A 27,113-nucleotide genomic window follows, 5' to 3' on the forward strand; every position below is an offset into this window, starting at 1 on the left:
CCGCCCCCACTCCCGCTAGAGGCCCAGTCCCGCTGGAGACCACGCCCCCAGCGCTCGGTCTCCGCCCCAGGACTCCCCGCCGTTACCTCCCGCTAGCTCAGGGCGAGGTCCTGGCTCCTCCCTGGCGTTTGGGCCGTCACTTTCCCAGGTCCGAGAGTGTCGACGCTCCTTTTGTCGACCGAGGATGTGGACGCTCCCCCAGGATGCGGCCAGGCAGCGCCACCTCACGCCGGCAGAGGGTGCCGGCGAGACGCTGAGGGACACTGGAGTTTCTGAGCCGAACCTGCGACTTTAAGATAGGGAAACTGGTAGGACATCCAAGAAAAAAAAAGGAAAGAAAGAAAGAAGAATAAATAAGGGAAACTGGCTTTCTGAGGACTCCTCGCTTTGGAGCGTGGGAGATGAGGAGTGAGGTTCGGTGGAGGGGGTGCGGCTTCTGGGAGCCACTGAGACCTACCAGCGTGTCTTCTTACCATCCACAGCTACTGCTGAGCAGACTTTCTGACCTGGGGTGAGGAAAGGAATTTGCTATTCAAAGGTGGGAAAATGCAAGGAGGGTTACAGCTGATAGGCCACAACAGGGTCTTAAATCAGCTGGGTTAAATTTATGGAGTCAGGATTTACTTTTTTTTTTAATGTGGCTATCCAATTCAATTAAAAATCTTGTCTTTTTCATTGCTACTCTGCCGCGTTACCTCTGTTATATATAAATAGGCAACCACGGCCGGGCGTGGTGGCTCACACCTGTAATCCCAGCACTTTGGGAGGCCGAGGTGGGTAGATCACTTGAGGTCAGAAGTTCGAGGCCAGCCTGGCCAACATGGTGAAACCCCATCGCTACTAAAAATACAAAAATTAGCTGGGCGTGGTGTGGGCGCCTGTAATCCTAGCTACTTGGGAGGCTGAGGCAGGAGAATCACTTCAACCTGGGAGGCAGAGTTTGCAATGAGCCGACATCCTACCACTGCACTCCAGCCTGGGCGACAGAGACTGTCTCAAAAATAAATAAATAAATAAATAGGTAACCATATAAATATATGGGAGTCTACTTCTGAATATCATACCCTATTCTAGTCCTTCAGTGGGTTTGTCTAACTACGCTGTCTTATTAACTATAGCTTTATAGTCAGACTTGACATCTGGTTGTGTGTTGGTCCTCTAGCTTTGTTCTTTCTTTCTTTCTTTTTTTTTTTGAGACGGAGTCTCGCTCTGTTGCCCAGGCTGGAGTTCAGTGGCCTGATCTCGGCTCACTGCAACCTCCGCCTCCCGGGTTCAAGCAATTCTCCTGCCTCAGCCTCCCGAGTAGCTGGGACTACAGGCACGCGCCACCACGCCCAGCTAATTTTTTTGTATTTTTAGTAGAGATGGGGTTTCACTGTGTTAGCCAGGATGTTCTTGATCTCCTGATCTCATGATCCGCCCGTCTCAGCCTCCCAAAGTGCTGGGATAACAGGTGTGAGCCACTGCGCCTGGCCCATTTTTTTTTGTTTTTTTGTTTGTTTGTTTTTTTGAGACAGAGTCTTGCTCTGTCAGCCAGGCTGGAGTGCAGTGGCACGATCTCAGCTCACTGCAACCTCCACCTCCCAGGTTCAAGCGATTCTTCTGCCTCAGCCTCCCAAGTAGCTGGGATTACAGGTGCCCACCACCACGCCCAGCTAATTTTGTATTTTTAGTAAATATGGGGGTTTCATCATCTTGGCCAGGCTGGTCTCGAACTCCTAACCTCAAGTCATCCACCCGCCTTGGCCTCCCAAAGTCCTGGGATTACAGGTGTGAGCTGCTGGGCTGGCTATTTTTTTTTTTTTTTTGAGACAGAGTCTTGCTCTGTTGCCCAGGCTGGAGTGCAGTGGCTCAATCACAGCCTGAACCTCCCAGGCTCAAGCAATCCTCCCACCTCAGCCTCCTGAGTAGCTGGGACTACAGGCATGCACCATCATGCCCAGCTGATTTTTTTTTTTTTTTTTTGAGACGGAGTTTCACTCTCATTGTCCAGGCTGGACACTCTCATGTCCAGTGGCATGATCCGGACTCACTGCAACCTCTGCCTCCCAGGTTCAAGCGATTCTCTTGCCTCAGCCTCCTAAGTAGCTGGGATTACAGGCGTCGGCCACCACACCCGGCTAATTTTTTGTCTTTTTAGTAGAGACGAGGTTTCACCATGTTGACCAAGCTGGTCGCAAACTCCTGGGCTCAAGTGATCCTCCTGCCTTGGCCTCCCAAAGTACTGGGATTACAGGCATGAGCGACCATGCCTGGCCTGTGGCCTACATTTTCCTGTGGTGAGGGCCATGTGTGATCCCACAGCCTCAGTAAGCCATCGCAGTCTAGCTTTGTTCTTCTTGAAGGTTGTCTTGACTATACTTGGCCTTTCACACTTCCAGGTACAATTTAGGGCCAGCTCGTCAACCTCCACAGAAAAACCTTCCAAATTTCTATCAGGATTTCAGATTCCCACTGGGGAAATCAATGTGGGGAGACTCTACAGCTTTACATTATTGTGACTTTTCTTCCACGAACATAGTAAGTCCCTCCATTTCTATAGGTCTTCTTTAATTTCCTTCAATAATATTTTGTGGTTTTTAGAATAAATATCTTGCATATCTTTCATTAGATTTACTCCTAGGTATTTAATTTTTTATAGCATTACAAACTCTATTGTTTTTACATATTCATTTTCAAGTTGCTTGGTAGTAGCATATAGGAAGACAATTGATTTTTGTATATTAACCTTGCAGCCAGTGACCTTACTGAATTTTCTTACTCTAATAGTTTAACTGGATATTTTTTTTTATTTTCTACATATGCATATTATATCATCTGGAAATAAAAGTGGTTTTCTTCCTTTCTGGTCCTTATACCTTGGTTTTGTTTCGTTGCACTGTCTTAATTTTACGGTCTGGGGCCTCTGGTACAATGTTGACTGGAACTGATAATTGTCTTTTTCCAGATATCATCTTTAAACGATCATGTTTGCTGTAGGTTTGTTACTGGTGCCTTTTGTAAAAGAAAGTTTTCTATTTCTATTTTTCTTAGAGCTTTTATCATGAATGGATGTTGAACTTTGTCAAATGTTTTCCTGCATCTATTGAGATGATCATGTGGTTTTTCTCCTTTATTTTATTAAATGTGGTAAAATATGTGAACTGATTTTCATATGTTAAACCTTGCATTCCTGTAATAAACCAATTTGGTTGTAGAAAAAAAGAGATAGGAAAACCGAACCCTAGGGAATCCCTGTTTGCGCTGTTTGTTTATTCAGTAGATTACGGGGTCTTGCTGCTGACCAGGCTGGTCTCAAACTCCTGGTCTCAAGTGATCCTCCTGCCTCAGCCTCCCAAAGTGCTAGAATTACAGGTGTGAGCCACTCCACCTGGCCTTTTTATTTCTTTGGACAAAAATTCCAATCAAGGTTTTTACTTCCCAGAGCACACATTGTGGTGATGCAATATTGTGTACCCTGTTGGGATTGGCAGGATAAAGGGGTTAACACATATAAAGCTCATTAGAACAGTACCTAATACAGGACGGGCATGGTGGCTCATGCCTGTAATCCCAGCACTTTGGGAGGCCAAGGTGGGTGGATCACCTGAGGTCAGGAGTTCGAGACCAGCCTGACCAACATGGTGAAACCCCCCACCTCTACTAAAAATACAAAACTTAGCCAGGCATGATTCTCATGTCTGTAATCCCAGCTACTCGGGAGGCTGAAGCAGGAAAATTTGCTTGAACCCGGAGGCGGAGGTTGCAGTGAACCAAGATGGCGCCACTGCACTCCAGCCTGGGGAACAAGAGCAAAATTCTGTCTCAAAAAAAAAAAAAAAAATTTAGCTGGGCACATAGTGGCGGGCACCTGTAGTCCCAGTTACTCCAGAGGCTGAGGCAGGAGAATCGCTTCAACCCGGGAGGTGGAGGTTGCAGTGAGCCGAGATCGCACCACTGCACTCCGGCCTGGGCGACACAGTGAGACTGTCTCAAAAAAAAAAAAAAAAAAAAAAGACTGAGGCGGGCAGATCACGAAGTCAAGAGATCAAGACCATCCTGGCCAACATGGTGAAACCCCGTCTCTACTAAAAATACAAAAAAATTACCCAGGTGTGGTGGTGCATGCCTGTAATCCTAGCTACTCGGGAGGCTGACGCAGGAGAATCACTTGAACCTGGGAGGCGGAGGTTGCAGTGACCCGAGATCGCGCCACTGCACTCCAGCCAGGCGACAGAATGAGACTCTGACTCAAAAAAAAAAAAAAAAAAAAGTACCTACTAGGACAGTGTTAGCTTTCATTATCAGTTCCTTCCTTACCTCATAAAGACCCCGTGAACTCCATTTTGCAGGTTAGGAAACAGGCTCAGAAAGGTGAAATGAGTGAACTGTGGATTTGGGACTTGAACCCAACATGTCTCTGCACTCATCTTGAGAGTCCGGAGTTTCTTCCTTCCAGTGGGTTGGTGGTCTCACTGACTTCAAGAATGAAGCCGCGGACCTTCACTGTGAGTGTTACAGCTCTTAAGGATGGTGTGTCCAGAGTTTGTTCCTTCAAATGTGTCTGGAGTTTCTTCCTTCCAGTGGGTTAGTGGTCTCACTGACTTCAAGAATGAAGCCACGGACTTTCACGGTGAGTGATACAACTCTCTTTTTTCTATTTTTCTTTTCTTTCTTTCTTTTTTTTTTTTTTTTTTTTTGAGACGGAGTCTCGCTCTGTCGCCCCCAGGTTGAAGTGCAGTGGCACAATCTCAGGTCACTGCAAGCTCTGCCTCCTGGGTTCACGCCATTCTCTTGCCTCAGCCTCCCGAGTAACTGGGACTACAGATGCCCACCACCATGCCCAACTAATTTTTTGTATTTTTAGTAGAGATGGGGTTTCACCGTGTTAGCCAGGGTGGTCTTGATCTCCTGACCTCGTAATCCGCCCACCTTGGCCTCCCAAGGTGCTGGGATTACAGGCTGTTGCAGCTCTTAAAGGTGGTGAGGACCCAAAGAGTGAGCAGCAGCAAGATTTATTGGGAAGAGCGAAAGGACAAAGCTTCCACAGCACCGAAGGGCACCCAAGCAGGTTGCCGGCTGCTGGCTGGGGATGAAGGGTGGCAGTGGCGGCCAGCTTTTAGTCCCTTATTTGTCCCCGCCCACATCCTGCTGATTGGTCCATTTTACAGAGTGCTGATTGGTCCATTTTACAGAGTGCTGATTGGTGCATTTACAATCCTCTATCTAGACACAGAGCACTGATTGGTGCATTTTTACAGAGTGCTGATTGGTGCATTTACAATTCTTCAGCTAGACACAGAGCGCTGATTGGTGCATTTATAATCCTCTGGCTAGACAGAAAATTTCTCCAAGTCCCCACTCCACCCAGGAAGTCCAGCTGGCTTCACCTCTCAATCTCATACATAAGCAGATAGCTCTTTCTGCCATGTGCTGCCATAATGGTGTGCATGAATGTCCCGGCTGATGCTCTCAAGAGCATCAACAATGCCAAAAGAGAGGCAAACACCAGGTTCTTATAATGTCGTCGTCTGGTTTCTAACTGTGGTGATGAAGCATAGTTACACTGGTGAAGTTGAAGTCATTGATGATCACAGAGCTAGGAAAACTGCTGTGAACCTCACAGGCAGGTTAAACAAGTGTGGAGTAATCAGCCCCTGATTTGATGTGCAACTCAAAAATCTAGAAAAATGGCAGAATAATCTGCTCCCATCCTGCCAGTTGGGTTTCATTGTACTCACAACCTCAGCTGGCATCATGGATCACAAAGAAGCAAGACGAAAACACACAGGAGGTAAAATCCTGGAATTCTTTTTCTAAGGAGGTAATATGCATTTGCAGATAAAATGCCTACAATTAAAAAAAAAAAAAAAAAGGAGAACGGATCACCAGATCACCAGATTAGGATGCCAGTTCTCTTCTTCATGCTTTCTTCCACAGACACAGCAAGTTCGTCACTGTCCTCTTTTCCCATTGAATCTAGGGACTCCTTCTCAATACCGAGCCAAGGCTGCATTATGACTTTCATGGATCCTAGGGTTTTCTTTCTTTTTTCTTTTTTTAATTTTTATTTTTATTTTGAGACGGAGTCTTGCTCTGTCGCCCAGGCTGGAGTGCAGTGGCACAATCTTGGCTCACTGCAATCTCCACCTCCTAGGTTCAATCGATTCTCGTGTCTCAGCCTCCTGTGTAGCTGGGATTACAGGAGCGTGCCATCATGCCCGGATAATTTTTTTTATTTTTAGTAGAGACAGGATTTCACCATGTTAGGCTGGTCTCAACCTCAAGTGATCCGCCCGCCTCCGCCTCCCAAAATGCTGGGGTTACAGGCATGAGCCACTGTGCCTGGCCTCTTTTTTCTTTTTTTTTTTAGAGACAGGGTCTTTCTGTGTTGTCCCAGCTAGTGTTCAACTCCTGGCCTCAAACAATGCTCCTGCCTTAGCCTCCTGAGTAGCTGGGATATGGACACATGCCTCCATTAAATATACATAATATACATAAATATTATATATATTTGATTTTCAATTGCTTTGGTAAAAAGATAACTATAATCTAGGCTGGATTCATTATTATTAGTATATGTTTCCTTTTTTTTTTAACCTTAACTTCCCAGTGTATCCTTCTAATTTTAAAGAATATTAAAAACATTTTCGACCAGGCGCGGTGGCTCACGCCTGTAATCCCAGCACTTTGGGAGACCGAGGCGGGCGGATGACAAGGTCAGGAGATTGAGACCATCCTGGCTAACACAGTGAAACCCCCCCGTCTCTACTAAAAATACGAAAAATTAGCCAGGCGTGGTGGCGGGCACCTGTAGTCCCAGCTACTCGGGAGGCTGAGGCAGGAGAATGGCGTGAACCCGGGAGGCGGAGCTTGCAGTGAGCCGAGATCACGCCACTGCACTCCATCCAGCATGGGTGACAGAGCGAGACTCCGTCTCAAAAAAAAAAAAAAACACTTTCATGGACCCCCTAAAAGTATAGTGGGCCCTAAACACTGAGCCTACTGTGCCTTCTAGAGAAGTTAAGTCTGCACTGAGTCTTTTGTTTGCACCCTGCTAACTTCCCCTTTACTAACTTGATTGTAAAGATATAAAAATAATAGGCTTGGCCGGGCATGGTGGCTCATACCAATAATCCCAGCACTTTGGGAGGCTGAGGCAGGGAGATCACTTGAGTCAGAAGTTCGAGGCCACCTGGCCAACATGGTGAAACCTCGTCTCTACTAAAAATACAAAAATTAGCCAGGCATGGTGGTGCATGCCTATAATCCCAGCTACTTGGGAGGCTGAAGCAGGAGAATCACTTGAACCCGGGAGGCAGAGGCTGCAGTGAGCCAAGATTGTGCCACTGCACTCCAGCCTGGGTGATAGAGCAAGACTCCGTCTCAAAAAAAAAAAAAAAAAAAAAAAAAAAAAAAAAAATATATATATATATATATATATATATATATATATATATATATATATATAATATGAGTATGTAGTCAATATGATTAGTCTTGTCCAGACTATTCACACAGTAAGCTATCTCTAACACTCTGTTCACTGCTGGGGAAGTATGAATTCACCCTGGCTTTCTGAAGGGCAAAATCAAAACTCTAAAAACTTTTTTTGACCCAGTAATTCCATTTTTCAGAATTAGCCCCAAAGTAATCATCAGAGAGAGGATTGTTAGGTCAAGCTTGTTTATTAGAATACCATTTATCGTGGTGAAGAACTGGGGATATAACCTAAGCATGTCACAGCAGGGGATGAGTTAAATTAATGAGTGTACCTCCATAGGATGGAAAACCATGCAATTGTTAAAAATGATGCAGCAGGCTGGGCGTGGGTGGCTCACGCCTGTAATCCCGGCACTTTGGGAGGCCGAGGTGGGCGGATCACCTGAGGTCAGGAGTTTGAGAGCAGCCTGGCCAATATGGTGAAGCCCCATCTCTACTAAAAATATAAAAATTAGCTGGGCATGGTGATGGCTGCCTGTAATCTCAGCTACTTGGGAGGCTAAGGCAAGAGAATTGCCTGAACCCAGGAGGCAGAGGTTGCAGTGAGCTGAGATCGCACCACTGCACTCCAGCCTGGGCGAGTGAGACTCTATCTCAAAAAAAAAAAAAAAGATGCAGCATAGATGGAATGACATGGAGAATGTTCGTGGTTATGGTATTAAATAGCAAGAAAAAAGCAACAAAAACAGTAATCTGGTAATATCAATTGGGAGTTGTGATGCTGTGGGCTGCAAGTCATAGAAACCCCAATTTAAACTGGCTTAAACAATAAAGGGAGCTGGTTGTGGTGGCTTGTGTCTATAAACCCAGCTACTCAGGAGGCTGAGGCAGGAGGATAACTTGAGGCCAAGAGTTCCAAACTATCCTGGACAACATAGTGAGAACCCATCTCTAAAAAAAGATATTTAAAATCTAGCCAGGCATGGCAGTGCCTGTAGTCCCAGCTACCCCAGAGGCTGAGGTGGGAGGACTGCTTGAGCCCAGGAGTTCAAGACTACAGTGAGCTATGATCATGCCACTGCACTCTAACCTGGGAGACAGAGTGAGACCCCATCTCCTATAAAAAATAAAAAATAATACAGTGAGCCAAGATCGTACCACTGCACTCTAGCCTGGGCAATGTGAGTAAGACCCTGTGTCAAAAAATAATAAAAATAAAGGGGCTGGGCCCAGTGGCTCATGCCTGTAATCCCAGCACTTTGGGAGGCCGAGATAGGCAGATCACTTGAGGTCAGGAGATGGAGACCAGCCTGGCCATCATGGTGAAACCCCCTCTCTACTAAAAACACAAAAACTAGCTGGGCATGATGGTGCACACCTGTAATCCCAACTACTTAGGAGGCTGAGGAAGAGAATTGCTTGAGCCCGGGAGGTGGAAGTTTCAGTGAGCCAAGATTGCGCCACTGCACTCCAGCCTGGGTGCCAGAGCGACACTCAGTCTCTAAATAAATAAATAAATAAAGGGACTCTGTTGGCTCAAATAATTTTAAAAGTCCAGGACAGGCACAGTGGCTGACGCCTGTAATCCCAGCAATTTGGGAGGCTGAGGCGGGCAGATCACCTAAGGTCAGGAGTTTGAAACCAGCCTGGCCAACATGGCGAAACCCCGTCTCTACTAAAAATACAAAAATTAGCCAAACGCAGCGGTGGGCACCTGTAACTCCAGCTACTCGGGAGGCTGAGGCAGGAGAATCGCTTGAACCTGGGTGGCGGAGGTTGCAGTGAGCCAAGATCGTGCCACTGTACTCCAGCCTGGGCGACAGATTGAGACTCCATTTCAAAAAGAAGAAAAAAAAAGTCCAATGGCAGGTGGGGCTTCAGGTGAAGTTTGATCCAGTTAATGAAGTCACCAAAGCCTGGTGTCTCTCCATTCTGCTTTCCATAATGTCAGTTTATCAGTAGGCCAATTTTCTACATGGTGTAAAGATGGCTGCCAGCAGTAACTAGAGCCATTGGCCTCTTCATTTACATCTAATGGAAGGAAGATCATCTTTTTTGGCAGCCTCCTCAGGAGAGAAAATAAGCTTCCTTTCCCAAAAGCCCTGAGCAAAAATTTCCTTGTATCTTGCTAGTTCATTCGTGATCTAATCATGTGCCTGGGGAAATGGGAATTGCTTACTGGCTTAACCAACTGGGACCCATTCCTGAAGCTGAGGGTGGGGTCCACCATATTCCAGTTCCTGTTAAGAAGGAGATGGGCTGCAACCTTAACAGGATCCTAACCCTAACCCTAACCCTACTGTGTTGCTGGACATTGTGGCAGCAACACAGTAACCAACCAATTCTATAAAACATGTATAGGCCCAGTCTTGGTGGCTCACGCCTGTAATCCCAGCACTTGGGAGGCCAAGGCATGTGGATCACTTGAGTCCAGGAGTTCAAGACCAGCCTGGTCAACAAGGCAAAACCCTGTCTCTACTAAAAATACAAAATTAGCTGGGCATGGTGGTGCATGTCTGTAATCCCAGCTACTCGGGAGGCTGAGGCAGGAGAATTGCTTGGACCAGAGGTGGAGGTTTCAGTGAGCTGAGATCATGCCACTGCACTCCAGCCTGGACGACAGAGTGAGACTCCATCTCAAAAAATAGATATAGCTATATAAAATATATAACACGTATATGTAAATATACATGTATATAAATATATATGCATATTATATACAACATGTATATAAATATATATGCATATTATATACAACATGTATATATAAATATATATGCCTAGACCCCCGCCCCCACCAAAAAATATCTATAAGGAAACAAACCAATAAGTCAGAACGATTATTTCTTGGTGGATGAAATTATAGGTAAATGTTTTCCTTCTGTGTTTTGTGTAATGGGCATGGATTACCTAAACACAAACAGTAAACTTTATTTACGAAAATAATGGGACATACCCCACTATTTCCTTCTACTCCAACCCCTACCCCAGCAAGGGCCTCAGAGTAACTGAAGCCAGAGGCCCCACGGAGTCGTTCTTGCTGCTGACAGAGCCAAACCCCAGTACCCCATGGGCCCTGGTTGTTTGCTGGACAGATGCCACCAAACCACTCTCATTGCATTAGCCTGGATGCTGTGGCCCCTAAAGGCCACAGCTTGGGCTGCTGAGGGTTGACCAACCAGCCAGTGGAACCAGTGGTGGAGACTGTGACCATAACAGTACCAGGAAGGAACACTGTGGCATCAGCAGCATGAGAAGCCCAAGATCTCCCAAGACAGATCTCTGCCCATAATCCATGCCTCTTATGTGGCAGCATGTAATTTAGGCCAGCAGTCTTCCTCAAGTGGGGCCAAGGTTGGGGATTAGTCTGTGATGGGGTCAGGCTCAGACAGGGTCTAGGTCAGCCCTTAGTTGAGTAGTCTGTAGCCTAGGGCTAGATACAGGGCTCAGTCCATGATTGGGCTTAGTCTTTAGTCTGTGACCAGGAGCCAGGCTCAGTCTGTGACCAGGGTCATGTCTCTGTCAATGACTAAGTTCAGGGCTCAGTCTGTGACCAGATTCAGGGCACAGTCTTCCGTTTAGGGCTCAGTGTGTGACCAGAATTGCATGATCCAGGGTCAGAATTCAGTCTGTGGTCAGAGTTCAGTCAATGATTAGGCTCAGGACTCAGTCTTTGACCAAGATTAGGGCTCAGTCTTCTGCCAGAGTCAGGGTTAAAAGGTTAGTCTGACTCTTCTGCCAGAGTCAGTCTAAAAGGTTAGTCTGGGCTGGGGCTAGAATTCAGTCTGTGACTAAGGCTCAGTCTTAGAGAAGGATAAGGGCTTGATCTGGGCCCAGAACTAAGGTCTCAAGTTGGGATCAGCCTAATTCAGGCTTAGATCAGTATGTGACTAGAGTCAGGGTTCATTCTAAGGTGATGTCAGAGCTCAGTCAAGAGCTGGAGTAGAGGCTTAGTCAATACCAAGAGTCGGGTTCAAGTTGGAGGATCAGGACCATGACCAGGGCTTAATCTGGCTCTATGCTCTGTTCTGAGCTCCAATAAAGAAGCTTCTGGAGGCATAGGAGCCCAGAGCAAGTCAGTCTGCAAGAAATGAGAGCCCCCAGGCAAGCTTAGCAGGGTCTGGTGGCTGCAGGAAGTTTCCCCTGGACTGCTGAGGCCGGGTGTCCTAGAGCCTCTAACCTACATGGCTCTGCTGCTTGAGATCCCCTCGCACCAGAATAAAAATAGCCACTCACTTCAGAGCAGCTGACAGCGGGTGCTGGGCTGCCTAGGAGGAGGGGGAGCCGAAGAGAAGGAGGAGAGAGGCCTGAGCTCAGCCCCAGCTGTGTGACCTTGGGAAAGTCACTCCTCCTCCTCCAGCCCATTTCCTGAGTGGCAGAATGGGGAGTGAGGATGACATCTGCCTCAGAGGGTGAGAATGAAGTGCTGGGGACATAACATGTGAAGCTTGTTACCAACAAGAAACCCTGGAGTGAAGCCTTGGGAGAAGAAATGCTCTTTTGTGCCCTGTATACTTCCTCCTCAGGGAAGCCCTCCCAGATAACCCCTTCTTTCACATTCCCACAATATCCTGTATCACCCTCTACACCTTTGCAGATGGTAGCCATAGCATGACCTCCCTCATGGCGGGCCTGGGTCAGGGTGACCAGGGAGAGAAAGGAAGGAGGACAGACCCTCGGTACCGTTGCCATCCTCAGGTGCCCCTGGAAAGTGAACCGAGGAAGAGGAGGAGGAAAAAGACAGGAAAGACTTCTCTCCCTTCCCTGCTCATGTTTACTCCGAACCAAAGGGCAGGAGGGTACATGTCCAAATTTCTCATCCTTTCACAGCCAGAACCTTCCTTCCCCATCCATGCTTTGTACCTGCTGTTCTCTCTGCTTTCCAGCCAGGGCGTTTCTCTTCTTCGATTTGGCAGCACGGACTCTCCTTCAAAGAAGGGGTTCAACAGTCAGCTCCTCTGTCGGGAAGAATTATCCACTGCCTCTCCAGGAGCTCCATGCTCTGTCCTCTCTCTACTGGCTGTGTAATCCCTGGGCCTCGGTTTCTTCCTCTGTCCAATGGGGGCCTCATTACCAACCTCACAGGGTTACTATGGAGAGTAACTGGGATACTCCATCTATCACTGGCATCCTGCCTTCCTATCCCTGACCCACACAGCCTGAAGGACAGCACTGAGTTTCCAGGAGTGGGCTGGATGAGCCCTGGACCCTGCCTCAGTACGCCCACCCCCCTCCCCCACCAAGAGTGAGGGCAAGGAGGGAGCCAGAAAGGGCCTCCAGAGACAGCCGTCTCCAGGGGGGCGGTTCTCCCTGACAGCTGCCCCCAGCCTGCCGCCCTGAGCCCCAGAGCCTGTTATCAACCTCCTTAGTCATCACACCAGGAGCTCAAATATAGCTCCAACTCACTCCCTTTTCAGCTGGGGTCCGCCCCCTACCCCCTTCTCCTGACAAGACCAGGCTTGGGTCTCAGAGCCCCTTCCTTGTCCTCCCAGGAGAGTAACCACCCTCAGCCTGTTTCAGCATCCACCACATGGGCAGGCTGAAGTCAATGGTGGTGATGATGATGATGATAAATACAGAGCAGCCACCTTTATGGAGAGCTTGCTGTGCCAGGCAGGCTCTATGCTAAACATTTCATATATATTATCCTGTTGAATCTTCACCAGCAAACTTAGGAGGTGTCTGCTGTTTTAATCTCCCTTACACAAATTGGGAATCAGAGTGACCTCCTCAAGTAAGTCAGTGGCAGGGCCAGAAACAAAGTCCCCTGCAGGGTCTGAGCTCAGGGAGCGGGTGGTGGGAAATCCTGGGTTGCCCTCCTGAGGCAGAGGAGCCCTCTGCAGACACATTTGCATGACATTTGCCTGGCTTCCAAAGGGCACTGATGCCCCTGTCCCAGCCCTAGATGGCTGAGCCTTAGGACTGGTCCCAGAGGCCTGGATCTGCCCATCATTCCCTCTAGGATTGCATGAAAAGCTGGGTAGTCTTGGGGGCTCCCATTTTCTTTTTCTTTTTTCTTTTCTTTCTTTCTTTTTTTTTTTTTTTTTGAGACAGGGCCTCTCTCTGTCACCCAGGCTGGAGTGCAGTGGTACGATCTTGGCTCATTGCAACCTCCACCTCCACCTCCCAGGTTCAAACAATTCTCCTGTCTCAGCCTCCCAAGTCGCTGAGACTACAGGCATGTACCACCACACCCGGCTCATTTTTATATTTTTAGTGGAGATGGGGTTTCGCCATGTTGACCAGGCTGGTCTCGAACTCCTGACCTCAGGTGATCTGCCCACCTCAGCCTCCCAAAGTGCTGGGATTACCCGCACTTTGCCAGTACTCCCCCAGCCCGGGGGCTCCCATTTTCTTATTTGTAAAACAGGAGACAGAGGATAAGACAGGATGAGTTCGAATCTTCCTTTTTCTGGTAACCTGAGCATCACCACCAGGTCTACTCTCACATCCTCCCTGACTGTCACCTCCAACTCCAACACTACCTCTTTCATTGACACAACACCATCATCAGTATTGGTATCATCATCACCTCTACCTTTGCCATCACCATCACCTCCACCACCTTCACCACAACCACTGCTAGCCCCCTACTTCCATCATCACAGTTACATACATCATCACATCCATCACCACAGTCGCCTTCCCCGTCACCACTGTCACCATCTCCACTATCGCTGTCCAAAGACCTTTCTACCCCAACACTCTAATATGGCCTGAGTCTCTGCCCCTGCAAATTCCAGCAGAGATGCTGGCCTGAGAATACAGACTAGACCTACTGACAGTCAAGCAGAGGTAGGAAGTGCCTTCAGGAGAGGAAAGTGAGGCATCTGCCTTCATGTAGGAGACTGCACAGGCCCATGCAGATGCTCCATGTTGGTTAACAGGGAGCTCTGCACACACAACTCTGAACACTTTCTGCCTAAAGTGGGTGGGATCACTCCTCTCTAAGCCATGAGAAACAGATCCCACAGCCATCCCAGCCCAATCTGACCCTCATCACCCATTCACTCTTCTAATTCATTTATTCATTCAACAAACACTCCCGTAGGCCTGTTGGGGACCATGTCCTGGGCTGGGTCCTGGCTGTAGCAATTCTCAGGCCTGTTTGTAACTCTCTTGTCAGTCTGTTACCCCACTGCTGGGCCCTTCTCCACCCAAGTTCCCTTCCCCCAGATAGCTCGAAGGGCTTGTGCTCATCCTAGGTCACTAAGTTTTCTCACTGAAACACAGGAGACCTTCTCAGTTCACCAGGTGACCTTGAGCAAGTTCCCCTCCCAAACCACACCCAGTGAATACTGGAGAGAAGAAAGCTGACAGAAGCCGGGCTGGGTTAGGCCTGGCTGTGGGGACATCTGAGGGCAGCTAGGTGTCTGCAGAAGAGGAGGGGCTGGTGCTGAGGCCTGAGATGGGAAAAGACTGCAGTGGCTGGAGCCTGAGTGTCTGGTTCTGGGTTGGGAAGAATAGAGCCTGGGACTGGCAGTAGGAGTGGAGAGGGTGGCACCAAGACCTGAAAATGGGGCAAGGGTGGGGGCCGGGGCAAGCTCTGAGCTGGCAGGGAGCCAGGAAGGTCACAGGATCAGGGCAAGAACTCAGTTGTCTCTGAGGCCCTGGAGAGGGTGCAGACCTCTGAACCACCTGTCCTACCTTAAGGCAGGTGTGTTAATGCCCCTCCCTGGAGCAAAGGGCTGACCAGGCCTACGGCAGAAAGGTGAAGGTAGACAGACAGCCTCCTTCCTGCTGCCAGTTGGGACCTGGGCCAGGCAGATGGGTACACTCTCCCCTCCCCACTCCATGGCTGTTCCAGCCTCAGCAGCCAGTTTGAAGGATTCCCAGGGGGTAGCCACCTTGCTTCGGCCTCTTCCAGGCTGGGAAGTGGGAGCCTGTGCCTTTAAATTCTCAGCAGGTTGAAATGGCTGATGACATCACTGGTTCCCGGGAGCGGTAGAGCTGGAGCCGGAGCCAAGGGAGTCCAGGCTGCCGGGGGCTGCAGACATGGAGGGCCAGAGCAGCAGGGGCAGCAGGAGGCCAGGGACCCGGGCTGGCCTGGGTTCCCTGCCCATGCCCCAGGGTGTTGCCCAAACTGGGGCACCCTCCAAGGTAAGACCCCTGAGACCCAGTGCCCCCCGCTTTCCTGATCCCTGGTTCCACACACCCCCCCCACATACACTGCAGGCTCCCTGGTGCTCCTGACTGAGGGGCTGGTACTTTCCTCTGCTCAGCGAGCAGGGGCTAGGTGAAGAGAGCACCCTGGGGGCTGAGGGGCAGTGACAGGATGCCCGGAGACAGATGAAGTTAGCCATCTCCAGGAGCCCTTGGGAGAGTCCTGGACTGGGTATCAGAGGACCCAGCTGTGCTCCACCTTTGCTGTGTGACCTTGGCCAAGTTGCTTTTCCTCTCTGAGCCAATGCAAAATGAGGGGGCTTGTCGCTGAAGACTAAAACTGTGACATCTGGGATGGCTAAGTTGTTAGTACTGGAGGCGGTGTGATAGTTGGGGGGAAGCCGGCACACAGTGTGACACTTGGAGCCAAGGAGGGTGCCTAAAATGCCACCTCAAAGAACTGAGTTTGAGAAGGGAGGTGGAGATGGAGTTTTAGGTACTCTGAACTGAGAAGGATACGGGACAGAAACAGAAGTGCGTCTCCAGAGGCAGGGCCTCCCTGCGCCCTGTTACCCTACCTAGGGCCATCCTGGGGCAAGTATAGACATTCTTCTGCCCTCCTTGGTGAAGGACACTTTATCCTGTCTTCTGGAGACAGGGGACATCAGAGAGAATAGATGGGGAAGGAGGATAGGTCTCTACAGGACTCCGTGACTCCCCACCCCTCCCACCTGCCGGACATAAATGGGATACCTGCTTGCCTGTCCTTTCAGGTAGGGGAGAAAGTGGAGGATGTAAGAGGGCACAACCTGGGCACAGAGAGATGTGACACCAGGATCAACTTAGAATCCTGGACTTGCTCTGAATGCTAGATTCACACTTGGTGAGGATGGACTATTCAACGGGGCTAGATGGAATTCTAGCAAATGTTGGGCTCATAAATGCAGACAATGGGAGATGAAGATTCCCCAGAATATAATGTGGCCAGGAACCCTAGACCCCATCCCTTCATTTTACAGACAGAGAAACTGAGGCGCTGGGCAGAGAGGTACTTGCCTAAGGTCACACAGAGCTGGGCTTTGAATCTACACAGCCAGTCTCAGCTCCCAGCTCTTGCTCCTGAGTGGAGCTCTGGGAATGGGTAAGAGAACAGAGAGGGCTGTAACCAAGGGATTTGGATGTTTAGGGGGCGGTGGGGAACTGAGGGTTTCTGGGCATTATGAAGGAAGGGAGAGGTATTTAACAAGCTGCACCTGTAGGTCTGTATCTTGACAATAGAAAAAGAAAAGAAACAGGCTGTCCCCAGTGTGCCCAGACCTGGGATGTCAGGTCAGTAGCCGTGGCTGGGGGAGCTTCAGGGACTGCAGTGGGAGGGTTGCCCAGGGAAGCTGCCCCGAATGGGCAGGGTGTGGGTGCCAGCCAGGAAGGCAAGGCAAGTCCTCAGGTTTAGGTTCACACTCTGCCTCATTTGAGTCAGGGTCTGAGTTTCCCCATCTGTGAAAGAGGTTTCAGACTTAAAGGAGGGGTTAGGGTTTTGTGTCCTATCTCCTCCAAGACAGAAGTTGACCTGCAGCAGAATAGATTGAAGTGAGATAGTAGGAAGAACTTCCTTGGAAAGATGTGCCTTTCTTAGCTAGATGAACTCTGCCAGGGTCTATATGGAAGTTGGGGCCCAATGCCCTGGTTAGGGTCACTCTGAATCTTTGACTTGTCCTCCACAAGGTGGACTCAAGTTTTCAGCTCCCAGCAAAGAAGAACGCAGCCCTAGGACCCTCGGAACCAAGGTTGGCTCTGGCACCTGTAGGGCCACGGGCAGCTATGTCAGCTTCCTCGGAAGGACCGAGGCTGGCTCTGGCATCTCCCCGACCAATCCTGGCTCCACTGTGTACCCCTGAAGGGCAGAAAACAGCTACTGCCCACCGCAGCTCCAGCCTGGCCCCAACATCTGTGGGCCAGCTGGTGATGTCTGCCTCAGCTGGACCAAAGCCTCCCCCAGCGACCACAGGCTCAGTTCTGGCTCCGACGTCCCTGGGGCTGGTGATGCCTGCCTCAGCAGGGCCAAGATCTCCCCCAGTCACCCTGGGGCCCAATCTGGCCCCAACCTCCAGAGACCAGAAGCAGGAGCCACCTGCCTCCGTGGGACCCAAGCCAACACTGGCAGCCTCTGGCCTGAGCCTGGCCCTGGCTTCTGAGGAGCAGCCCCCAGAACTCCCCTCCACCCCTTCCCCGGTGCCCAGTCCAGTTCTGTCTCCAACTCAGGAACAGGCCCTGGCTCCAGCATCCACGGCATCAGGCGCAGCCTCTGTGGGACAGACATCAGCTAGAAAGAGGGATGCCCCAGCCCCTAGACCTCTCCCTGCTTCTGAGGGGCATCTCCAGCCTCCAGCTCAGACATCTGGTCCTACAGGCTCCCCACCCTGCATCCAAACCTCCCCAGACCCTCGGCTCTCCCCCTCCTTCCGAGCCCGGCCTGAGGCCCTCCACAGCAGCCCTGAGGATCCTGTTTTGCCACGGCCACCCCAGACCTTGCCCTTGGATGTGGGCCAGGGTCCTTCAGAGCCTGGCACTCACTCCCCTGGACTTCTGTCCCCCACCTTCCGGCCTGGGGCCCCCTCAGGCCAGACTGTGCCCCCACCTCTGCCCAAGCCACCCCGATCACCCAGCCGTTCCCCAAGCCACTCCCCGAATCGCTCTCCCTGTGTTCCCCCAGCCCCTGACATGGCCCTCCCAAGGCTTGGCACACAGAGTACAGGGCCTGGCAGGTGCCTGAGCCCCAACCTTCAGGCCCAAGAAGCCCCAGCCCCAGTCACCACCTCCTCTTCTACATCCACCCTGTCATCCTCCCCTTGGTCAGCTCAGCCTACCTGGAAGAGCGACCCCGGCTTCCGGTGAGGGGGCCCTCTCCCAAGAAAGGTGGCTGGGGCTTAGCTCTGAGGTTAGCCATTCTTCCAGGGTGGATGGTGTGCTCTACCTCAGCTTCTCTCTCTGAGGAAGAGTCTTTGGGGAGGGGGTTGCTGGGCCCACTCTGTGACGCTCAGAAGATAGCATCCCCTCCTAAGGAACTTGCCGCCTCTCAGTTGATCTCCCCAGGGAGAGTGTGGCAGAGGGACAGGATTCGGGGCCTCCTGTGGGTCCTTCTTAGGGCTTTGGCCCACACCTGCCTCCATTTAGTTCCCCAGGGAGTCCTGTGAAAGGAAGCTTGAGGGTGAGGGAGTGGTGCCAGGACTACACCCTCATATGCCCCTGCCCTCAGGATCACTGTGGTCACATGGAACGTGGGCACTGCCATGCCCCCAGACGATGTCACATCCCTCCTCCACCTGGGCGGTGGTGACGACAGCGACGGCGCAGACATGATCGCCATAGGGTGAGGTGGCAGGGCATGTGGACCCCCTCCTGAGCCCCTCGGGCCTTCCGGGCCCTCCACCCATGGCAGGGGCTTCCAGGGCACCTCTCCAATCCCATGGCCACCCTGCCCCCACCCCTCCAGGTTGCAGGAAGTGAACTCCATGCTCAACAAGCGACTCAAGGACGCCCTCTTCACGGACCAGTGGAGTGAGCTGTTCATGGATGCGCTAGGGCCCTTCAACTTCGTGCTGGTAACGCACCCCTCACCCCCTGGACAGCCAGAGACCCTGCTGAATTCCTGGCTCCAGCTGTACCCTGGCTCACTGTGGGGCCCGCTGGGCCTCTGTGGCTGGGTCCGTGACATGGGTGGGTGGAGGAGCAGACCTGAAGGTGGGCGCGAGGGCGGGGGAGTTGTGTTCTGTCCCCCAGCCACGTGGCCTCCCGCTGCAGGTGAGTTCGGTGAGGATGCAGGGTGTCATCCTGCTGCTGTTCGCCAAGTACTACCACCTGCCCTTCCTGCGAGACGTGCAGACCGACTGCACGCGCACTGGCCTGGGCGGCTACTGGGTGAGCCTGTGAGCAGGCCCAGAAGAGGATGGGACATGAAGGGGGCTTTAGATTAGTCCCCCCGCCCCATGCACAGCAAGGTCCCCTTCCCATCCTCCACCCTTTACCCTGCGGCCCAGCCCCCCCATGCACCACCCAATACCCCATCCTATTCCTCTATACCCCCGCCCTTTTCTCTCCCCACTGTGTCCCAGCGTTGTTCCTCATTTCTGTAGGACCCACCCACCTTCCACCCACATCTCCTCTCTAACCCCCGCTCCCAGTGCCTCACCTCCTGGCCTAAGCCCCGCCCATGAGCCATCCGACCCTGCCTCCCTAGGGTAACAAGGGTGGCGTGAGCGTGCGCCTGGCGGCCTTCGGGCACATGCTCTGCTTCCTGAACTGCCACTTGCCTGCGCATATGGACAAGGCGGAGCAGCGCAAAGACAACTTCCAGACCATCCTCAGCCTCCAGCAGTTCCAAGGGCCGGGCGCACAGGGCATCCTGGATCATGAGTATGGGCTGGGGTGGGGCCAAATAGAGCTTGGGTGGGGCTAGTGATGGGGGTTTTTGTACCACCTTGGGTGGGGCTTATGGAGAGAGGCAGGGCCTATGGGGTTTAGTGCCCACCCAAACTAGTTGTAGGAACACGAAAGCAGAGAGCAGTTGGATGGGGAGGGGCGGAGCTTGTAGGGTGGAGCTTTGCTGAGGGGCCCCGCCTTGCTGAAGGTCAGAACCTAATTTCCTGTAGACCGGTCCCTCTGCTTTTCCTCTGCCCTTTGGTGGGCTGGAGGCTCTGGCACCACTCACCCACTCACTACATCCCCTCGGGTTGGATGGGCTGGAAGGATCTGGGCTGAGCCCTTATCCTCCATGGACCTGTTGACACCCCCCACTGCCCCCCACATCTCTCCCATCCCCCACCCCAAACAGCCTCGTGTTCTGGTTCGGGGACCTGAACTTCCGCATTGAGAGCTATGACCTGCACTTTGTCAAGTTTGCCATCGACAGTGACCAGCTCCATCAGCTCTGGGAGAAGGACCAGGTGGGGTCCTTGTCCCCAGAAGCACACAGAGCATGTCCCAGGACACGCCTGTACCTTAGACTATGGTCCCTGTCCTCACCTGCCCCACCCCCTCCCTGGGCACAGCAGAGCCCAAGCTGTTGTCCAATCTGCTCTCCTGGACCCCCCACAGCTCAACATGGCCAAGAACACCTGGCCCATTCTGAAGGGCTTTCAGGAGGGGCCCCTCAACTTCGCTCCCACCTTCAAGTTTGATGTGGGTACCAACAAATACGATACCAGGTGAGCTCAGTCCGAGGAGGGACTGAGGGGAAGTGGGCTGAGGTCTTCTCGAACAGGGAGACTTTGGGAAGAGGGGCAGGAGGCAAGGTGGAGGGTTACATCTTGATCCCCAGCCCCTGAAACTTGGGGTACCCCTGCTCACTGCAGTGCCAAGAAACGGAAGCCAGCTTGGACAGACCGTATCCTATGGAAGGTCAAGGCTCCAGGTGGGGGTCCCAGCCCCTCAGGACGGAAGAGCCACCGACTCCAGGTGACGCAGCACAGCTACCGCAGCCACATGGAATACACAGTCAGCGACCACAAGCCTGTGGCTGCCCAGTTCCTCCTGCAGGTGAGTTCTGGCCTCATCCTCCCCGCATGAAATCCCCAGGCCCAACTCGGCATACCACTGCCCCTCACCATTACCCTTTGTATAACCCCTTGTACCTGCCCTCAGCAGCATCCATTTGTTGTAACAGTGGAAATGGGGTTGCAATCTACATTTTCAGATGAGGAAGCTGAGGCTCAGACACATGGCATCACCTGCCCAGGGTCACCCAACTAGTAAGAGGAACAGTTAGGATTTGAACCCAAGTGAGTCTGGTTTCAGAGCCCATGCCTTTTCTTTTTTTTTTTTTTTTTTTTTTTGAGACAGAGTCTCATTCTGTCACCCAGGCTGGAGTGCAGTGGCACGATCTTAGCTCACTGCAAGCTCCGCCTCCCGGGTTCAAGTGATTCTCCTGCCTCAGCCTCCTGAGTAGCTGGGATTACATCACCCGCCACCACGCCAGGCTAATTTTTGTATTTTTAGTGGAGACAGGGTTTCACCATGTTGGCCAGGCTGGTCTTGAACTCCTGACCTCCTGATCCACCCACCTTGGCCTCCCAAAGTGCTGGGATTACAGGCGTGAGCTACCGTGTCTGGCCAACTTTTTTTTTTTTTTTTTTTTTCTTTGAGACGGAGTCTTGCTCAGCCGCCCCAGGCTGGAGTGCAGTGGCACAATCTTGGCTCACTGCAACCACCATCTCCTGGGTCCAAGCGATTCTCCCGTCTCAGCCTCCCAAGTAGCTGGGATTACAGGCACCCGCCGTCATGCCCGGCTAATTTTTGTATTTTAGTAGAGACAGGGTTTCACCGTGTTGGCCAGGCTGGTCTTGAACTGCTGACCTCAGGTGATCCACCCACCTCAGCCTCCCAAAGTGCTAAGATTACAGGCATGAGCCACTGTGCCCGGCGCCCTTTTTTTTTTTTTTTTTTTTTAATGCAGTCTCACTCTGTTGCCCAGGCTGGAGTGCAGTGGCGTGGTCTCGGCTCACTGCAACCTCTACCTCCTGGGTTCAAGTGATTCTCCTGCCTCAGCCTCCTGAGTAACTGGGATTACAGCTGCCCGCCACCACGCCTGGCTAATTTTTGTATTTAGTAGAGATGGGGTTTTGCCATGTTGGCCAGGCTGGTCTCGAACTCCTGACCTCCGGTGATCTGCCCACCTCGGCCTCCCAAAGTGCTGGGATTACAAGGTGTGAGCCACCACACCCAGCCTTAGAGCCCGTGCCTTTTCTGCTAATCTCTAACTCCTGTCTTCTGAGAAAGGTTTAGAGTAATTTATCTTAAAATTCATTTATAGGCTGGCGCAGTGGCTCACACCTGTAATCTCAACACTTTGAGAGGCTGAGGTGGAAGGATCACTTCAGCTCAGGAGTTTAAGACCGGCCTGAGCAACACAGTGAGACACTGTCTTTAAAAAAAATCAAAAAAAGGCCGAGCGCAGTGGCTCACGCCTGTAATCCCAGCACTTTGGGAGGCTGATGTGGGCGGATCACATGAGGCCAGGAGTTTGAGACCAGCCTGGCCAACATGGCGAAACCCATCTCTACTAAAAATACAAAAATTAGCCTGGCGCAGTGGTGCATGCCTGTAATCCCAGTTGCTTGGGAGGCTGAGGCACAAGAATCACTTGAACCTGGGAGGCAGAGGTTGCAGTGAGCCAGTATCGTGCCACTGCACTCCAGCCTGGGTGACATGAGCAAGACTGTGTCTCAGGGAAAAAATAAAAATAAAAATAAAATTTAGCTAGGTGGTGCACACCTGTATTCCCAGCTATTTATGAGGCTGAGGTGGGAAGATCACTGGAGCTTGGAAGATCTAGTCTGCTGTGAGCTGTGATCGTACCACTGCACTCCAGCCCAGGCAACAGAGCAAGACCTTGTCTCAAAAAAAAAAAAAAATTCACATATGCATCATCATTTTCACTACTAGTGTCTTAAAAATAACAAAGAAAAGATATAAAAATTCACATATATAATAAGACCAGCAAAATCAAACTCCATGTAACATTCATTCATATTCATTCATTCGTTATTTACTGAGTACTTAACTGTCTTACCATATGCCAAGCATTATGAGAGTGTGTAGTGATGGGGAGGGAGAGCAAAGATATAAAAAATACAAAGCTGAACTCTTAAGTAGTTACTATAATTTATATTGTATTTAGGATTGAGGTTCCTGGTTGCCGACATCAAAATGGGAAATCCTAGAATCTCAGAACCAGACCTGTGAGACCAATTTGGCCCACTCCCTTTTTTTCTGTGGCGGGATCTGAGGCTCCTCATGGGGTAGGCACATGCCCCAAACCATACACAGGCTCTGCAGTGGCAGAGCAGGGTAGATCCCATCTTTTCAGCCCTGAAACCCAACTCTGGGCTCTTCAAGTCTCTTGATCTGATAAGAGGGAGCCCAGCAGGCCAGAAAATGTTTTTCCTGGTAACTTTGTCACATGGCCAGTCAGTGGGACATTGGCCAATATCTTTAGCTGGGAATGGAAATATCCCCACGCTTGGCCTGCCATGACCTCTGGCAAAAGTGTTGGGCATGAAGATTTAACCCACAATTAGGGACCTCACCTGAAAAATCACTCCTTTTGACACCCCATCCTGTCCTTCCCACCTCCTCCAGGACTCTGTCCCTTTAAAAACATTTCCCAACCAGGTGCAGTGGCTCACGCCTGTAATCCCAGCACTTTGGGAGGCTGAGGCAGACGGATCACTAGGTCAGGAGTTCGAGACCAGCCTGGCCAACACAGTGAAACCCTCTCTCTACTAAAAATACAAAAATTACCTGGGTGTGGTGGTGCGCACCTGTAGTCCTAGCTACTCGGGAGGCTGAGGTAGAGGAATTGCTTGAACCCGGGAGGCGGAGGTTGCAGTGAGTTGAGATGGCACCACTGCACTCCAGCCTGGGCTACAGAGCGAGACTCTGTCTCAAAAAAAAAAAAAAAATTCCCATTGAGTACCTACTACATGCCAGGCCTGTGTAGTGCACTTTACATATGTCATCCTTTTGAATGCCTCAGTAGGCCCTGAGATGTCCCAGTTTTCCTCTCTGTTTTACTGGTGAGGGAAACTGAGGCTCAGAGAACTTAAGTCTCTTAGCCAAGGCAATGCAGTCAGAATAGGGCTCAGTAGGGGTTTTGATGCTGCAAGGCCTTGGAGGGCATTTTCAAAGGTCTACCCTTGCCCGCCCCTGCTGTTAGGAACACAGGAACAGGGAAAGAATGTGCCAGTTACTTCTGGAACAGATTGGCTCGGAAGCTGAGGGAGGGAAACCTGAAACTAGGTAAACAGGGGATCAGACAAAGATCTGGTGTTGGCAACAACTCAGTCCTTCCCTGAGGGACAGAGGTGGGGTCAATATCCTGGCAGCCTGCCACCTCAGCAGCTCCACCCATTCAGGTGGCGCCCCTGGTGGGTCTGGGTTGACCTTGGGGAAAGGATACTCGTGGTTATAACTTTCCTTCATGGACTGATGACAAGGTAATAGTTAGTAACCGCTTAGTACTTAGACTCAGTTGGAGAAACTGAACCTTGGGATGGTTAGAGCCTGCCCTGGGGTAACATAGCGAGTTAGCAGTAGAGCCTGGAAGTGGACTGAGGTCTCCATCCTCCCACGCAGAGCTCTTCTTGCCTGCTCAGGAATATTCAGCTTACCCCAAATACCCAGTGCATCATAGGATTTTATTGGTCTTCCTTGCTAGCATAGAGACAAATCATTTATTGAGCACTTACTGGTATACTGGGAAATTTATGGGATGCTTTGCAAATGGTGTCTCACTGAATCTGCTGAACAACTCCAAGAGTAAAATAAGAGTCTCTGAGTTTGGCCGGGCACGGTGGCTCATGCCTATAATCCCAGCACTTTGGGAGGCTGAGGTGGGTGGATCATTTGAGGTCAGGAGTTCAAGAACAGCCTGGCCAACATGGTGAAACGCTGCCTCTACTAAAAATACAAAAATTAGCCAGGCGTGATGGCGGTACCTGTGGTCTCAGCTACTGGGGAGGCTGAGACAGGAGAATCACTTGAACCCGGGAGGTGGAGGTTGCAGTGAGCCGAGATTGCACCACTGCACTCCAGCCTGGGTGACAGAGCGAGACTCCATCTCAGAAAAAGAAAAAAAAAAAAAAGAGTCTCTGAGTTTACAGATGAGGGCCCTGGCATTCAGAGAGGCTGAGGAACTCACCCAGCCTGTCAACGGCAGAACCAGAGCCAAATCCAGGATTTGCTAGCTTCAAAGCTATGTTCTCACTCACTCCCTAAGGAGGCTGTGGGCAGAAGGAACCCTGGGCTGGGAGGCAGCACAGGGCTTGGTATTTATACTAGACCTGTTCTGCCTCAGTTTCCCAGTCTGTAAAGTGGCCCTTTGTCTCAGGCAATTTGTGCTAAGACCCAAGAGCCTTAAGTGTGTGGGATACTAGAGGGTCTCCCCTGATGTGGCCCCCTGCCCCTGCCTTGCCTGGACAGTTTGCCTTCAGGGACGACATGCCACTGGTGCGGCTGGAGGTGGCAGATGAGTGGGTGCGGCCCGAGCAGGCGGTGGTGAGGTACCGCATGGAAACAGTGTTCGCCCGCAGCTCCTGGGACTGGATCGGCTTATACCGGGTGAGAGGGGCAGTGGTGGTCAGCGACTCAGGGAAGAAAGGGGCCTGGAGGAGCAGCTGAACAGCATGGTGGGGTCACTGGCTTGTCCAGATCTTGATGCCACACTGGGAGACTGCTGGGATCAGACATTATAGGGTCACAACACTGATTCCACAACACTGATCCCCCAGGTGGGTTTCCGCCATTGCAAGGACTATGTGGCTTATGTCTGGGCCAAACATGAAGATGTGGATGGGAATACCTACCAGGTACTTAAAAGGAGTGGGAGAGTCAGGGCAAGTCCTTGTTGCCTTTGGGACCTCAGAACTCACCTTGGGGGCTCTCAGGTGGCCTCCCTGACCCCCAACTTAGGCTTATACCCCTGGGCCTACCAGGTAACATTCAGTGAGGAATCACTGCCCAAGGGCCATGGAGACTTCATCCTGGGCTACTATAGTCACAACCACAGCATCCTCATCGGCATCACTGAACCCTTCCAGGTAAGTAGGCCAGACTGCTGGGCTGGGGGTGCCTAAAGACTTTTGTCAAATGCCACAGCCTCTACATTCTGCTCCTTGAGTTCAGACAAATAACCTGACCTCCCAAGATCTGCCAACGAGAGAGGCAGACCTCGGGAGGTCAGGCCTCAGTGGCTGGGTTGGGGAGCAGGGCGCCCCAGTGACCAGCATTTCCCCCAGATCTCGCTGCCTTCCTCGGAGTTGGCCAGCAGCAGCACAGACAGCTCAGGCACCAGCTCAGAGGGAGAGGATGACAGCACACTGGAGCTCCTTGCACCCAAGTCCCGCAGCCCCAGTCCTGGCAAGTCCAAGCGACACCGCAGCCGCAGCCCGGGACTGGCCAGGTTCCCTGGGCTTGCCCTACGGCCCTCATCCCGTGAACGCCGTGGTGCCAGCCGTAGCCCCTCACCCCAGAGCCGCCGCCTGTCCCGAGTGGCTCCTGACAGGAGCAGTAATGGCAGCAGCCGGGGCAGTAGTGAAGAGGGGCCCTCTGGGTTGCCTGGCCCCTGGGCCTTCCCACCAGCTGTGCCTCGAAGCCTGGGCCTGTTGCCCGCCTTGCGCCTAGAGACTGTAGACCCTGGTGGTGGTGGCTCCTGGGGACCTGATCGGGAGGCCCTGGCGCCCAACAGCCTGTCTCCTAGTCCCCAGGGCCATCGGGGGCTGGAGGAAGGGGGCCTGGGGCCCTGAGGGTGGGGTAGGCAGATGGGCCAAGGTGACCACCATTCTGCCTCAATCTTTTGCAAGCCCACCTGCCTCTCTCCTGCTGCTCCTCCAGCTGTATCTGCACCTGCCTCTCTGTCCTGGCCAGGGGTGGACAACTGGGGTCCCCCAAAACTCAGTCCTGGCACCTCAACTGTGACAATCAGCAAAGCCCCACCCAGGCCCCCATCTGGGATGATGGGAGAGCTCTGGCAGATGTCCCAATCCTGGAGGTCATCCATTAGGAATTAAATTCTCCAGCCTCACTCTCGGCTCTTT

The 27,113-nt window shown here is 51.6% G+C and overlaps 1 protein-coding gene, 2 long non-coding RNA genes and 1 pseudogene across 20 annotated transcripts; 3 read left to right on the forward strand and 1 right to left on the reverse strand.

Annotated features, from left to right (window-relative positions):
- Positions 1 to 38: 38 nt before the first annotated feature.
- Positions 39 to 12,705, reverse strand: LOC105372995 (uncharacterized). The gene is made up of 3 exons (XR_938163.3): positions 12,286 to 12,705; positions 474 to 506; positions 39 to 289 (listed from the first exon to the last, which is right to left on the reverse strand). It is a non-coding gene; the product is annotated as an uncharacterized LOC105372995 (long non-coding RNA).
- On the forward strand, positions 285 to 2,855 carry LOC124905100 (uncharacterized). Its single transcript, XR_007068063.1, has 2 exons — positions 285 to 511; positions 2,382 to 2,855. It is a non-coding gene; the product is annotated as an uncharacterized LOC124905100 (long non-coding RNA).
- On the forward strand, positions 5,397 to 5,831 carry RPS15AP37 (ribosomal protein S15a pseudogene 37; annotated as a pseudogene).
- A 2,311-nt stretch (positions 12,706 to 15,016) lies between the features above and the next one.
- INPP5J (inositol polyphosphate-5-phosphatase J) lies at positions 15,017 to 27,100 on the forward strand. 18 transcript variants are annotated; one of them, NM_001423476.1, is made up of 15 exons: positions 15,369 to 15,522; positions 16,299 to 16,408; positions 16,545 to 16,666; positions 17,248 to 18,413; positions 18,779 to 18,892; positions 19,016 to 19,124; positions 19,324 to 19,440; positions 19,760 to 19,935; positions 20,354 to 20,465; positions 20,617 to 20,726; positions 20,874 to 21,057; positions 25,501 to 25,638; positions 25,809 to 25,886; positions 26,013 to 26,117; positions 26,316 to 27,100. In NM_001423476.1, exons 4-15 carry the CDS (start codon positions 17,344 to 17,346, stop codon positions 26,820 to 26,822), a joined length of 2,820 nt encoding a protein of 939 aa, NP_001410405.1. In that variant the 5' UTR covers positions 15,369 to 15,522; positions 16,299 to 16,408; positions 16,545 to 16,666; positions 17,248 to 17,343; the 3' UTR covers positions 26,823 to 27,100. The 18 variants fall into 18 exon arrangements, with proteins under 18 accessions (NP_001410402.1, NP_001410401.1, NP_001410405.1 ...); NM_001284289.2 differs by lacking the exon at positions 16,299 to 16,408 and having other exon boundaries at positions 17,248 to 17,309; positions 18,236 to 18,413; NM_001423473.1 differs by lacking the exons at positions 16,299 to 16,408; positions 16,545 to 16,666 and adding an exon at positions 15,017 to 15,079 and having other exon boundaries at positions 15,326 to 15,522.
- Positions 27,101 to 27,113: the final 13 nt, after the last annotated feature.

Source organism: Homo sapiens, chromosome 22, assembly GCF_000001405.40.
Source record: "Homo sapiens chromosome 22, GRCh38.p14 Primary Assembly".
Classification (NCBI taxonomy): domain Eukaryota; kingdom Metazoa; phylum Chordata; class Mammalia; order Primates; family Hominidae; genus Homo; species Homo sapiens.

Coding starts and splice junctions, on each gene's coding strand:
- INPP5J (NM_001423473.1), top strand. CDS start 15,418: ATGGAGGGCCAGAGCAGCAGGGGCAGCAGGAGGCCAGGGACCCGGGCT. Junction 15,523..17,247: donor AAACTGGGGCACCCTCCAAG/GTAAGACCCCTG, acceptor GTCCTCCACAAG/GTGGACTCAAGTTTTCAGCT. Junction 20,466..20,616: donor AGCTCTGGGAGAAGGACCAG/GTGGGGTCCTTG, acceptor GACCCCCCACAG/CTCAACATGGCCAAGAACAC.